The 13,930-nt window shown below is 59.8% G+C and overlaps 1 protein-coding gene across 7 annotated transcripts in view; it reads right to left on the bottom strand.

Moving 5' to 3' along the window:
- The window catches only part of MYO15A (myosin XVA), a 71,045-nt gene that overhangs the window by 47,912 nt on the left and 9,203 nt on the right, over positions 1 to 13,930 (bottom strand). For 5 of the 7 annotated variants that reach the window (XR_934039.3, XM_017024714.3, XM_011523918.3 and 2 more), the window contains exons 1-8: positions 9,480 to 13,219; positions 7,324 to 7,406; positions 6,658 to 6,721; positions 5,433 to 5,542; positions 5,024 to 5,098; positions 4,724 to 4,814; positions 547 to 650; positions 358 to 421 (exon numbers count right to left, since the gene is read on the bottom strand). Coding sequence is in view for 6 of the 7 variants with exons in the window: in XM_017024714.3 (XP_016880203.1) it covers positions 358 to 421; positions 547 to 650; positions 4,724 to 4,814; positions 5,024 to 5,098; positions 5,433 to 5,542; positions 6,658 to 6,721; positions 7,324 to 7,406; positions 9,480 to 13,088 (4,200 nt within the window). In the remaining variant the exon portion in view is untranslated. Of the gene's footprint in view, positions 1 to 357; positions 422 to 546; positions 656 to 1,078; positions 1,085 to 4,719; positions 4,815 to 5,023; positions 5,099 to 5,432; positions 5,543 to 6,657; positions 6,722 to 7,323; positions 7,407 to 9,479; positions 13,308 to 13,930 lie in introns of those variants that run through there. The other 2 variants (NM_016239.4, XM_017024715.3) reach the window with 2 other exon arrangements.

The raw sequence follows: 13,930 nt of genomic DNA, 5'->3' as shown, positions 1-13,930 counted from the left end.
AGAGGGGCTGCGTTTTTAAATGGGGAGCTTCCTGAGTGGGTGAAATTGTAGGGGAGACTTGGAGGAGGTGAGGGGTTTGGCCAAGCAGGTGCCTGAAGGATAAGTGCTCCTGAGGGAAGGAACAGAAGGTGCAAAGGCCCTGGCAGGAGCGTGCCTGTGTGCTGCGGGGCAGGGAGGAGCCACCGTGGCTGGAGGAGGGTCGGGGAGGGGAGGTCCTGGGCTCACATGTACACATGTACGCATGTATTCGTTCATTAATTTGACGTCTACCTAGCCCTACCAGGGGCCAGGCTCTGAGTATCTGTACCTCCCACCCCGACCCTGCCCAACACAGAGGCCTGGGAGGGGGTGGCCCACCTGAAACACGATCCTGGATTTCTCAAGCAGGTACTGGGAGGTTATGGCACCAGAGATCACGCCCCTGGGGTGGGGAGCACAGTCAGCTCTCAGTGAGGGTAGGAGGGCTGGTGTTGGCTCCGAGGGGCTGTGGCAGGACATGGAAGACACTGCAAGGCTTTTGGGAGGCCCTCCACTGTCCCAACTCACCCTTCCAGAAAGATTTCCACAAACTTCCCAAAGCGGCTGGAGTTGTCGTTCCTGACGGTTTTGGCATTACCGAAGGACTCCAAGAGGGGTGTTGCCTCCAGGATCTGGACTCCAGAAGGAGATGTGGGAATTGAGGGGCTAGGCACTGTTCTGGGGGCCTGGGTGGGGGGCATAGCTGGGGACACCCAGACATGAGCCTTCCCAAGGACCTCCCTTTATGAGAGATGACCAGAGGTGGGCTCCCTAGAGAATCCTGAGGTCTCTCCAGTGCCCCCCAGTGTTTCCCACCCCATGCTGCCCAACTCCCACACAGCAAGCCCCATGCTTCCCCATTCCAGCCTCCATGGCCCCCCACAGCAGCCCCTGACCACAAGCCCCAGCCCTGCCTAGGACAGGCCTTTGGATGTCCTTTCCTGCCTGTCCCTCCACCCACACAGGAGCAGGCACATCCACACGCATTTTCCTGGACAGACACACACACACACACACACACACACACACACACACACACACACACACACACACTGAGTACCTTTATCTTCAAGAGCGTCCAGGAGGGAGGACAAAGAGACAGACAAGAACAGAATGGAGTCACTAGCAGGACCGACCACCACTCTCTCCAGGAGACTAGGAGCCTCAGACCAGGGAGGGACTAGTAAAAACCTGTGAGGCTCAGAGACCCCAGGGGTCCAGGCTTGGGGACTGCCATGGGGTCTCCAAGGTATGAAAATATGCTGAGTTTGCCTTCCAAACAGCTCTGGGGATGTCCTCTTCTCCCCACCCCCATGGCTACCACCAGCCAAGGATCCTCCCTGGCCTTCCTCACTGTTCCCTGACACCCAGGCCCACTCCTGCCTCTGACCATTGGCATCTCCTGTTCCCTCTGCTTGGAAGTCACTGCTCCCACGCACCTGCATGCCCCACCCCCCAACCCCTTACCTCTCACAGGAAGGCCACCAGAATTCTCTCTCCAGTAGCCCTCAGCCCCATTGGCAAACTCTCTATTTTCTTGGGTATTATTGTCTGTCTCCCCACTAGAATGTCAAATCCTACAGGCACGGATCTACTGTTTGCACATCTCTGAGTCCCCAGCGTCTACACAGACCTGGTGCTTAATAGGCTCTCAAAAATATCTGCTAAAGGGATGGAAAAAGGAATAGCATCGGCTGGGCATGGTGGCTCACGCCTGTAATTTCAGGAGTTTGGGAGGCCGAGGTGGGCAGATCACGAGGCCCGGAGATCCAGACTATCCTGACCAACATGGTGAAACACTGTCTGTACTAAAAATACAAAAAATTAGCCGGGCGTGGTCGTGGGCGCCTGTAGTCCCAGCTACTTGGGAGGCTGAGGCAGGAGAACTGCTTGAACCTGGGAGGCAGACATTGCAGTGAGCCAAGATGGCACCACTGCACTCCAGCCTGGTGACAGAGTGAGACTGTCTAAAAAAAAACAAAAACAAAAACAAAAAACAAAAGGAATACCATCTCACGGGCAGAGCTGCCCAGGGGTGACCATGGCTGATCACAAGCTCCCACCTATTTAAGCACCTACTGTGTGCCAGACACATTGCCCTGATAATGCCGTTGTTAACAATCCCATGAGGTAGGTACTAATATCACCCCTGTTTTGCAGATTAGGAAACTGAAGCTTAGAGAGGTGAAATGACATGCCCAGGGACTCCAGAGTCCACTCGAGTGATGAGCATGGGCCTAGTGTGTACGTGGCACTTTCTTCAGCTGAGGCACTTCCTCAGGATAATCTTTTAGGGAAGAAGCAAAGGAGGTCCAGTCACCACAGAAACAATACCTGTAATTTTGGGGATGGGGCCAGTTCCCTCCATCTGTCCCATTTAGTCCAGGAAATACTGCACCCATTGCATAAAGGAGTAAACTGAGGTCCAGAGAGGGATGGGGCTGGCCTGTGATTGCTCAATAAGTCAAGGTCTGCCTGGGCTTTCCTGTGTACTATCCCTTAGTCTGGGAAGCCCTTGAGGACAGGTTGGCTGCTTCTCTGTTCCCGGTGCCCAGCATACAGCAGGGCATAAAGCCAGCGGATGGAGTGGGTAAACACCAGAAGGGTGGAACCTGTGGTCCAGGCCTTAGCCAGTCAGGGCAGAGCATTCCCTGTGCTACGTGGTTGGCTCCAGTGAGGACATATGACCAAAACTTGCCCAGTGAGACGGAGCTCTGAATGTTTCATTTCTGAAATGTTGGGAGGGTTGATCATTATGGTGCCAGCTTGCTGACCAATAGGAGACAGATTGAGGATGATGCCTATACATGGGGGAGGGTGGAGCCAAGACAAGAAACATTGTTTAAGATTCTGGATCCAGCCATGCCTAAAACTGAACTGGACTGTTTGATTATCTGAGGAGGGAAGAGCCATGTCTAGGAAAGGAGCCCCATGGTCATCACAGCTGGCAGGCACATCCTCACACATTCTGTGTGCCTGGCACACACAAACTCCCAGACTCAGCCACATCCACAGCTCCATCCGTCCTCCCTGACAGCTCTCTGCCATGGACTGCAAATCTCAGCTCCTGCACCACCTCACTCCTCCCTTCTTAGGCCTCAGTGTTCCCATCTATAAATGGATACAAGTGTACCTACCTCCCAGGGTTGCCGTAAAGCTCCGGTGTGACGATAACTGAAGGAACCCAGCACTGTGCCTGGCCACAGGAGGTGCACGAGGTACACTTACTTCTTTCCCTGCCTACCTACCTAGTCATTCCACAAGTCTGACCTGAAAGGTTTTGAAAACTCTGGAGCAAGGGATGATCTGTTTGGTCATCAGGAGGCCTGGGCTGGGATGGGAGACCCTGGCAGGCCAAGGCAGGCATCAGAGGGGGCCAGGCCAGGCTGGAACCTGACTGCAAAGCCTGAGCAGCCTCCACCTACGCCCCCAGGATCACCTTGCTGGGCTCGCCCCTGGCTAGGACATTGTGCCATGTGCAAACCTTTGTGGGCCCCAGGGTTGGGGAAGTCTGGGTCTGTGGTTCTGGAGTCTGAGCTGGCAGGCCAGTCCCACCTTCTCCTGAGCTCCAGGCTGGTGGTGCATCCATCACCTCCCTGCCATCTCTGTGTAGATGCCTAGCAGACACCTCTTCTCAACAAACCTGCTCCTCCTCCACTGCCCAGCCTGCCTCCATGCTGCCTGTGGCTCAGACCGAATGTCTGGGGTCACCCTCCGACAGTTCTCCCTCTCACACCCCAGTCTGTCTTCTCTGTAGGTTGCTGGCTGGCTTTGACCTGCACCTGGACCCAATCTGCTTGCACCTCAAAGTGCAGGCGCTCCTCCCTCTGCCTCTTCACTGTTCCCCTAGACTTTCCTAGAGCCCACTCTCTTGTCTTCTCAGTACAGCCTACCCTGACCACCACACTTACGATTGCAACCCCCAACACTCGCCACCCTTCTCTTCACTTTTTTCCTCCACAACTCACCACCTACCCTTTCACATACACATAATTTACTTATATAAGTGTATATATATATATATATATATATATATCTTTTTTTTTCTTCCCACCTCCACCACTAGAATGAAGTTCCCATAAGGGTGTGAACATTTGCCTGAGTTGCCGCTACCCCTCCCCAGTGCCTAGCCTGGGACTGGCACACAGTAGGTCTTCAGTAGATCTTTACTGAGGGAACGGATGCAGTTCTACCATTCTCAGGCTCAGAGGGCTTAGCACTGTCTTTGTCAGCAAAGCTCCAATCCTTCAGACTCTGGCCTGGCATCTACTGCCTCCCCCACCCCACCCCTAACCCACACTCAGGCCTGCCCTGCCTCTTGACCGCTGGGGGCTGCATAGCTTCTGGGTGTGAGAATATGGTGGCCCCAGGGCCATGACCAGGAAGGTGAGGCCAGGTGGGAGAGATGGGATGACTCCCCTTCCCTATGTGGACTCCCCTTCCCTATGTGGTCTCCACTCTGAACTGGACCCGGAGGGCTGGAAGCAGGAGCTGCCACAGAAACACAGACAGGCAGGAACTCTCACCCCTCAGGCACACCCCTGGGAAGGGTGGCAGAAAAAGCAGCCCTGGGCAAGGCCCCCTTCTGGAACTCAGCCTCCTCATCTTCCTGGTGGGCCAAGGAGCCTTGCCTCTTCGGGAGTACATGAGGTGTGCTTATCAAAGGGTGTTCAGCCTAGGGTCCTGGGGAGACAGGTAGACTCACCTGCTGCATGACCTCCCGTTTCTGGTTCATGGCGGCCAGGTAGCGCAGAATCAGCTTGGTGGCCTCAGTTTTGCCAGAGCCGCTCTCTCCACTGACCGAGCAAAGGGGCAGAGTGAGCTCCAACCTTTCGCTGCCTCTTCTGGGGCACCCTGACTCCCATCATGAAGCAAGAGGATATGTACGGTGGGCCAACCCAGAGGTACCAGGCAATCTTCCAAGGTCCCACAGCAGTTCTGGCCAGATGCAGGCCTGCTACCTAAGGTCCCCCATTTATCCCCCACATAAAGGCAGCCCACTCACCTAATGATTATGCACTGGTTCTGTTTGGCATCGAGCATTTTGGCGAAGGCGAGATTTGCAACAGCAAAGAGGTGCCTGGGGAGACAGGTCATTAGAGCTGGCCCCTGCCTCTAAGCTCCCACACCTCCCAGGGATTGGGCAGGGAGCATCCGTATCCAGCCAAACAGCCAATCCTGCCCACCCCTCACCCTGTTGGGGGAATGCTCCCACCCCCATCCTGGTCTGAACGACAGTGGCCTCCAACCTGTAGCTTCGGCCCTGCCTGGGGAGAGACTGTCAGATTGAGTAGGTGGGCTGCCTTTCCCCATTACCTCTGACTCATGGCTCAGGTGCAGCCGGGATCCAGGCTCCCAGAGCAGGGGAAAGAGGGGCCCAAGAGACCCCAGGGCAGCGCCCCCGAGACACTCACGGGGGATTCTCTCCCAGGGCCCGTCCGTTGTACTGCTGCACCTGCTCCGGCCCATAGATTCCAAACATTTGGTATGGGTTCACCGACACCAGGATGCTCCCAATGTATGTCTGCTGGGCAGACGGTGGCCTCAGCGTCGTGGCTCCTTGCAGACCTCTATGTCCCTCCCTCCCCTATGCTGGGAGCCTGGCTCCCTGTTTCCATCCGGACAGATATCTGGCTGCCTGGACTCGGGATTCCCATCTAGAGCCCTCTACCAGCTAGCTGGGCTACGTGCTCTAACAGTGGAATCTCAGGCACTGCACCAGGCTGAGCTGAGAGGAGTCTGGAGTGAGCAAACCCCACAGCCACGATCCTGGGTGGGCTCCTGCCTACTTCATTTGTTCAAGGTTGGGCCCAGGCTCCAGGAACTTCTGGCTCCTGTTGAGGGCAAACCTCCACTGCCTAGAGTGAGGAGTTGGGGAACTCAGGGGATCCTGATGTGGCCAGAGCCCTTCTGGGTGTCCTTGTCTTCCACACTGGCACTGAGCCCCTGGCCCTCTGTTCTGTCATTCTCAGGTCAGAGGCTCCCCTCTGACCCCTCTGGCCATCCCCACTCTGGGGTCCAGGTCTATGGATTCTAGGACTCTGGAAGTTCTATCTGTCAGGTCCCAGATGGTGGGGGTGTCACATATTTCTGGATTCTCTGTCTCCAGCTTTCTGCCTCTGGCATCCACCATTCTTTTTTTTTTTTTTTTTTTTTTTTTTTGAGATGGAGTCTCGCTCTGTCTGTCACCCAGGCTGGAGTGCAGTGGCGCGATCTCCGCTCACTGCAAGCTCTGCCTCCTGGGGTTCACGCCATTCTCCTGCCTCAGCCTCCCAAGTAGCTGGGACTACAGGCATGCACCACCTACACCTGGCTAATTTTTTTTTTTTTTTGTATTTTTAGTAGAGAGGGGGTTTCACCGTGTTAACCAGGATGGTCTCGATCTCTTGACCTCGTGATCCACCTGCCTCGGTCTCCCAAAGTGCTGGGATTACAGGGTGAGCCACTGTGCCCGGCCTCTGGCATCCACCATTCTAAGACTGTGTTTTAAGACTTCAGATTTTAGTTCTAGGCTCTGGCATTCTAGGCAGAGGCCACAGGGGCTAGGGCCCACAAGAGAAATCTGTGCGTCCCACCCGGCCCCAGGAGGCAGCTGCCTTCCTGACCTAGGCCCAGGGCAGGGCCAGCCCCAGGCCTTACGTAGATGAGGTTCCGTTCAAATCTAATCTTGAGGTTGGACAGCACAGTGGTTTCCTGGAGGTCTCTAGAAGGACACAGAGAGAAGCCGTCAGTGCCCCCAGGGCTGGTTCTGGCATGGGTCTCCCTCCCCAACTCAGTGCAGTGCCTTGATCAGATAGGCCTGAATTCAAGTCCTGTTTCTGACACCAACCAGCTAGGAGACCTTGGACAAATTACTTCCCTATTCTGTGCCTTTTTCTTCATTTGTCCAATGGGTATGATAATCATTGTACCTACTTCATTGGGGGTTTGGGGGACACTCTTACGTAATCACTGTGATTAGATAATGATGCTGACCAACACGGCCCTCATGTTTTGAGTACCTCCAATGTGCTGGCATCCTCACAACAGCCATCCCACTCCCATTTTGTGGATGAGAAACTGAGGTGCAGAGAAACAAAGCGATTTGTGCAACGTCTGCCAGCTGGTGAGTGGTGGGGCTAGGATTTGAACCAAAGTCCGTCTAACTCACAAAGCACACCACATTTAGTCTTTGTGACACTTCATGACTGAGGCTCTGAAAATGTCCTGGGAGGTGAGAGGCAACTGCAGGAGGAGCTGCTCTGGCTGGGAGGGTGGGGACCCCATGGTGACCCCTTGCTGACCCCGCCGGCCCTGCCCACTCACTCCAGCTGTGTCATGTCCTCCACACCATCCTCCCCGTGCTGCTCACGGAACCGCATGGATGGCAGGTTGCGGATGGAGTGCATCTGTGTGAGAGAGAGAGGCTGTGTCTGCAGGTTGAAGGGCACCCCCCTCCCCCACTGACCCCTGGCTTGGTCATACCTGGGGCCTGCTACCATTGTTGGGGAGGGAACCCCAAGGCCAGGTGGGTCCTGCAGGTCTCCTCATTACAGAATGCTGTGGCCCCCAGAACCTGCATGCGACCCTCACACATGAGACACACGCATACCCTCAGTGCCCAGGCAGGCCCTCCCATGAGCTCCCAAGTGTCCTGCCCTAGGGGGTGAACAAAGGCATATGCAGGTACATGGGCGCATGGGCCAGCTCCCTCCCAACCGCAACTCTTCCAGCACCAGCAGACCCCATATGTTGGCTTGTGTGACAACTCAAAGGACACTTGTGACCTGGTGCATGGGGCCTCTAGGAGGGCAGAGATGGAGACTGTCTTAGCACCACAACCCCATGCTCATCCTGGGGAAAATGCGTGGACACCTGCATATGGACCCACACTCAATGGCATTTACAGCTCATACAACTCCCAGGCACACAGGTGTTCCTGTAGGCCTGTGGGCACATACGCAGGCCTGTGGGGCCCGGCTGGAGGCACACGGTGTGCAGGCACATGCTCTACCTGTCCACTTGGCACATACATGTGGGCGCACAGCTGGGTCCCTCCCTATGCTGGGGGTCTGGTGAATGGAAGTCCTGATGCCACCTTTGGGCTGCAGGGTCTCCTCTGTGAGCACACGTCTGTGCACATGGGCAGAGGGTGGGCAAACAACCCTGACCCCCAGGGATGCCACATCTGCTCAGACCCCATACACTAGCTTTCGTCATTTGGCTGTGGTACACACTTGCACACATGCTCAGGCATGCAGGCCTGCGCAGGATCCACATGACTGGGAGCACACACGTGTACACCCTCAGCCTTTCCAATCCCAGCTGCACCCTGAGCAGGCGAGGAAAGAGGACACCAGGAAGGAACCCTGCATGCCTGTCGCTGGACTGCTAAGTAGGGCACAGCGAGTATCACCCTTTCGGCCCTGGCCTCCGGCCCACCCATCTGCCCACGTGCTTGCCAGCAGCCGCAGACCCTGAATAATTCAGCCACTCACGTATTCCAGGGTAAGGAGGACCCAGGCATCCTTGCCCCTCACCCCTAGACGCCCTGCGCCCCGCTCCCGCAACGCTGCAGCCCACACAGCGCGGGGCATCCGCCGCCGGGGCCAGGGCCCCCTCAGCAGCCAGGCTGCCCCGGTTGCCATTGTTGGGCCCGGCTGGCTGCCTGCTCCGCCAGGCATGGTCTGCAGAGGCTGAGACGCACCTGCTGCCCCTGCTTGCCCCGCCCACCACCCCGGCATCCTGAGAGAGGCTCCGGTGACCACGCACCTCAGCCAAGGGCCACCCAGCATCAGGCTCGAGTTCCACCTTGAGTGTGGCAGCCAGGCATGGGCTGGGCACCCATCCGAAGGGCTGCCTACCCTGCACCCCTCATGGGGTTCCAGAAGGACTCCTGGTTCAGTTTTCCCTCTGTGCAATGAGGAGTCTGGAAGTTTGGATCCTGAGCCCCTCACCCTGACCTATTCCAGAATCCTGCAGCCCAGGGGACTTCAAAGGGCAGCAAAAACCCTGAGGAAACAGGAGGCTTTAATTTGGGGGAGGGTCAGTAGGAGGCAGGAGGAACTGCAGAGACCTGGATGTGCGGTGGAACAGGATGGATAGGCATGTCCGGCAGTTTCACATCTGGCTTGGCCAAAATCTCTGAGGGGAAGTTAGGGGCCAGACCTGTCATCCAGATTGGATCAGGGCAGGGCTGCCCAGGGCCCAAGCCGAATATGAACAAAGATCCTTCCCCAGAGTGACCTGGAAGCAGTTTCCCACGTCTCTGTCCTGGGCCTGCCTGTGCTGGGCATCCCCTTGTTCAACCCTCCAGAGGTTCTGGGAGGTCCAGGCTGTTCTCCCCAACTTACAGACCCAGAGACTGAGGCCCCAGCAAGCAGCCTCTCTCCAAGGTTGCACAGGGCTCCTCAGGCTGTCTCTCTTGCCCTGTTTCCTAGGCCAGAACCCTCAAACCCTCCGTGTAATCTGTGCCTCCATACCTTGTTCCGCCAGCTTGGCGGGCCGACCTCCTCCCAGGAGCCCCTAAGGGACAGGCAGGCAGCTCCAGGGCCCAGGTGGCAGGACTGGGGATGGGTGTGTACTCGTGGCCAGGGTCCATAGGCATCTGCCCGAAGCCAGAGGCAGGACCAGCGAAGACTACAGGCTCTTGGCTTGGGGTCCTGAATGGGCTGGACTTGAGGCTTCAGGGTTGCAGGCCCAACTCGCTGGAAAGAGCTCAGCTTCTGCACACGAGGCATGACCACAGCAAAACGCCCAGGGGCTGCCTGGCGCCGTTCACCCCCCTTGGGCAGGGGCTCTGGGGCCCTGATGGGCGCCAAGGGGGCTGCGGCTTGGGGCAGTGTTCCCCAGCGGTGCCATGGTGGCCATGTGGCCCTGGTCTGGTCACACGCAGCCAGTGGGTATGAGAGGCTGGGCCTTAATGTCTTTTGCTCTGGGAGGACATCCTTGGGGGGAGTGATATCCTTGGGGGGAGTGACATCCTTGGGAGGTGCTGGGGTTGGAGGCTTGGTCTCTGCTGGCAGCTGGGGGTCCCCCAGGGTGGCCTCTTCTTCAGGCTTCTCAGGGGTTGGGCCAGCTGATTTGGTGAGCTGTCCAGGCCCCGGCTCATGGTGTCTGCCCAGGAAGACCCTGGTCATATCAGCAGCTGGATCCTCAGGCTGGAGGGTGGGGGATGGCACAGGGCCCAGGAGCTGGAGAAAGGGGTTTTCCGGCACAGGGGGTGGCCTGGAAAAGCCTCGGCGGCTGCCTGCACCTCCTGGCCAGGGGGAGGGTGGGCGTTGGGTGGGAGGCATGTCCACGTCCCAGCTGGGGGCCAGTGGGGGCACAGTCCAGGGCGTCTCTGAGTCCTCGGGTTCTCGCGGGCTCTCCCGGTGTTCCAGGGGCGCCCGCCAGGCCCCGGCCCTGGGCGGTCGGTGGAAGGGCAGGCGCACTTGCGGCTTCACAGCCCGAGTGGGTGGCTCGCTGAGGCGCCGCCACGTGTGCGGGAGGCGCGAGGGCAGATTCAGGGAGCTGCGCCGCGGGCTGTGGCAGAGCCCCAGGGGCGGCGAGGGCGGCCTGGGTGAGCCCGGCAGCGGCGAGCCGGGTGGGCCCAGGCGCCCAGCGGCTCGGCGTGGGGCTGGGGACTCCTGCAGCGAGCGGGGCCGGCGGGCCGGGGGCAGGAAGGGCGGCTGGAAGGGGCCCGTGCGCAAGGACAGCTGAGGCGACGGGGGCGCCAAGGGTGAGCAGTAGCCGAGGCCCGGCGAGCTCCTCAGCGAGGGCTGGGGCGAGGCCAGCGGTGACCAAGCTCGCCTCCGCGACGCCCGTGGAGAGGCCCCGGGGAAGCCGAAAGCCGCCCCTCTCCGGCGGGAGCCCCTGAACGAGGGTCGGGGCCCTGGGAAGGCTAGTAGGTCGGGGGGCACCTCCGGGCTCACGGCAGGGGGCTCCACGAAGGCCCACCAGCTGGCCTGCGGCGCCGGTGGCACGTGCGCTGGGGCGGCCCAGGGCGGCGGGTGGCGGCGGAGGGAGCCGTAGGGCGAGGCCGGCCGGGGCAGGCCCGAGAGCGCCGGGGAGAGCGGCGGCGCGGGCGGGGGCCCGGAGCTTGGGGGCCGCGGGGGCACGGGCGGAGACAGGAGCGCGCTCCAGTGGGAGAGGGTCCTGGGCGCGGGCTGTGGCGCGGGCGGGCGGCGCGCGTCGTTGCTGCTGCGAGCGCGTGGCTGGGCCCTCCTCAGCACGATGGGCGTGCCGGGCTTCTCGGGGTCCATGCCAGCCAGCTTGTAGCCGAAGCGTTTGTAGGCCGCCTCCCTGACAGCAGGGCCGCCCGCCCGGGCCTTCTGGCTGCCCCTGAGCCGCGCGATGGGCTTCTTCTCCGACAGCGTCTTCTTGAGGAACCGCGCAAGCGAGGTGGCAGGGCGAGGCACGGGGCGGCCAAACTCAGGGCCGAAGCCCAGGCCCCGGTGGGCGCCGAAGGCCGACAGCGCGCGCTGGAGGTTGCGCTGGCGCGGCGTGAGGAAGCCCCAGAAAGGGTGGCCGTAGGGCACAGCGGAAACCGGGGGCAGCTCCTCCTCGTCCTCTTCTTCGTCCGCATCCCCCAAGGGGAGAGGAATGTCCAGAGAGGGTGGCAGGGGCACCTCCAGCTTCTCCTTCCCAAACAGCTTCACCTGGGGTCGCGGGAAGAGGCGGAACTTGCGGATGAGGGACAGCTTGGACCTGGCGGGCTTATCCATGCCTTGCTGCTCGAAGAAGGCGGCGCTGGGCAGGCGGAAGGAGGTCCCCTGACGCTCTACGCCCGCGTCCTCTGGTTCCTCCAGCTCGGCGATGTCATCCATGGCGTGGGCATACGGGTTGTGGGGCGACGGGATGGGCGGTGGTACCCAGGGGTACACAAAGGCCGAAGCCGACTCCTCCGGGTAAAAATAGGGCACCTCGGGGGGGTAGATGGCCTCGTCCCCACCGCCATAGACGCCTTCGGCATAGGGGACGGTGTAGTGGACTCCGTAGGGATCAAAGTAGGGTACATCGTAGGGAGTGTGGTATGGGAGGTCATAGGGTGGGTATGGCGCGTCGTACGGCGCATAGGGATCCAGGTAGTAGCCATAAGGGTGCGCCTCGCCCTCGTACCCATCGTGGTAGCTGTAAGGAGACGAGTACCCCGACGGGGGCGCATATGGGGGTTCGTAATCGTCGTAGCCGTAGCCGTAGGTGTACCCCGGATCAAAGGGGCCACCGTAATAGTCGGGGTGGTAGTAGTCGTAGGGATCCTCGGGCGGGTACCCGTAGTAGTGGTCGCCGTAGGGTGGCCAGGCCGGGCTGTAGGGGCCGAGGCCCGCCAGGTAGGGTTCCTGCTCCTCGTAGCGGTGGAGTGACTGCCGGTCGTAGTAGTCGTCGCCGTCGCGGTGATAGTCATAATACTCGCCCAGGTCCTGGAAGCCCTCAAGCCCGTACAGCGACTTGCGGGAGCCCGAGTGATGGAATGGGGCCTCGTCCTCGAAGGGCAGGAAGCCCAGGGGCTCGCCTGACGCGTAGATGCTGCGGCTGCGGGGGAACCTCCGGAGCCGGCCCCCAGGCCGCAGGATCTCGGCACCCGACGGGAAGGGGAGTTTGCGGGAGCCCATGCGGGAGCTCGAGCGCTGCAGCCAGGCGTCCACTGTGGCCTGTTCGCTGCCCGACTCCTCGGCCTTCTTGAGGAGGAACTTTTTTGTGAGCCAGTTGATGGCCGTGGACGCTTTGCTGAGTGACCGGGCGCGCGGCCGCAGGCGGCCGTAGCCACGGCGGCCTGGGAAGCGGATCACCATGAAGGACGGCTTCTTGCCCTTCATCGCCCGCTTCTTCTTGCCCATGCGCATCTGCGTCATGAGCTTTGACGTGGACTTGAGCACGGTGCGGGCCTTCCTCTTGCGCTTGGTCTTCTGGGGGCCGGTGTGGAGGCCCCAGAAGAAGGCCGAGGCGCTGCGGAACTGGCCCTTCTTGGAGATCTTGGGTGTACGGTCGCGGAAGCCCATGAACAGCCGCGACGTCCCCTTCAGGCTCCGTTTGGGCTTCTCCGGCTCCGGTGCCTTCTTCCCCTTCTTCCCTTTCTTGGCTTTCTTCTCCTCATCTTCCTCCTTCGCCATGGTGGCTGCCTGCTCTCTACAGGGCCTGGGGCCGGTGTCACGGGCTCAGGGACTTGGAGACACAGGGACCTGCTCTGTCTCTTGCCCGCGGCTGGACACGCGGCCTCCTCGGGCTGTGAGCAGACCCGACTGGCCCTGGGTGGCGTGGGGAGGGCCGAGCCAGGATTCCGGGAGGGCGGATCCATAATTCATCTCCTCTAGAGCGCCTTGGGTTTCACCCTAGAGCAGTAGTAGAAAGTGTGTGGGTGTTGTTTACCAGGATGGGGAAGCCTGCCTATGAGGCCTGTGCTGGGGGAGACATTCTGGCCTCGGAGTCGTCATGGCAACATCAGTGCTCATCCTGGTTAGGCCCTCCCTGGGCCACAGCTGGCTCAACCCCATGAAGGGAGCCCTTGGGTCACTTCGGCTTCACAGAGGAAGACATTGAGCCACAGAGATGGAATGCCACCTGCCCTAAATCACCAGCACACCTGCACTGGGCCAGAAGTGGGGCCTAGGGTGGGATGGCCAAAGCCCACCAAGTCATCTTGGAGGAGAACTTTGAACCCTCTAGGTCCTAGGCAAGGGAGGAGGGGAATGGGCAGAGCAGGTGCTGGGCTGCGGTCAGTGTAACAGGAGCTGGCTGGCTCTCAGGAGCTGAATAATACATGGGGTGGGGAGCCAGGCTGCCGGCTCAGAAGGCAGGGCAAGGAGGGGCGTTTCAGTGGAACTCCACTTGTGTGTGTGTGTGTGTTGGGGCGGGGGCAGGGGTAGAGAGGCAGAAATGGAGGTTGGGTCAGGCCTGGCTCAGACCCTAGGCTCTGTCACTGACTGGCTGTGTGGGTCCAGGAAAGTCCTTGTCC

This window comes from Homo sapiens, chromosome 17 (assembly GCF_000001405.40).
Source record: "Homo sapiens chromosome 17, GRCh38.p14 Primary Assembly".
NCBI classification, from domain to species: Eukaryota; Metazoa; Chordata; class Mammalia; order Primates; family Hominidae; genus Homo; species Homo sapiens.
Note: the sequence above shows the minus strand (reverse complement) of the source record. Positions and strands in the feature narration are given on the sequence as shown.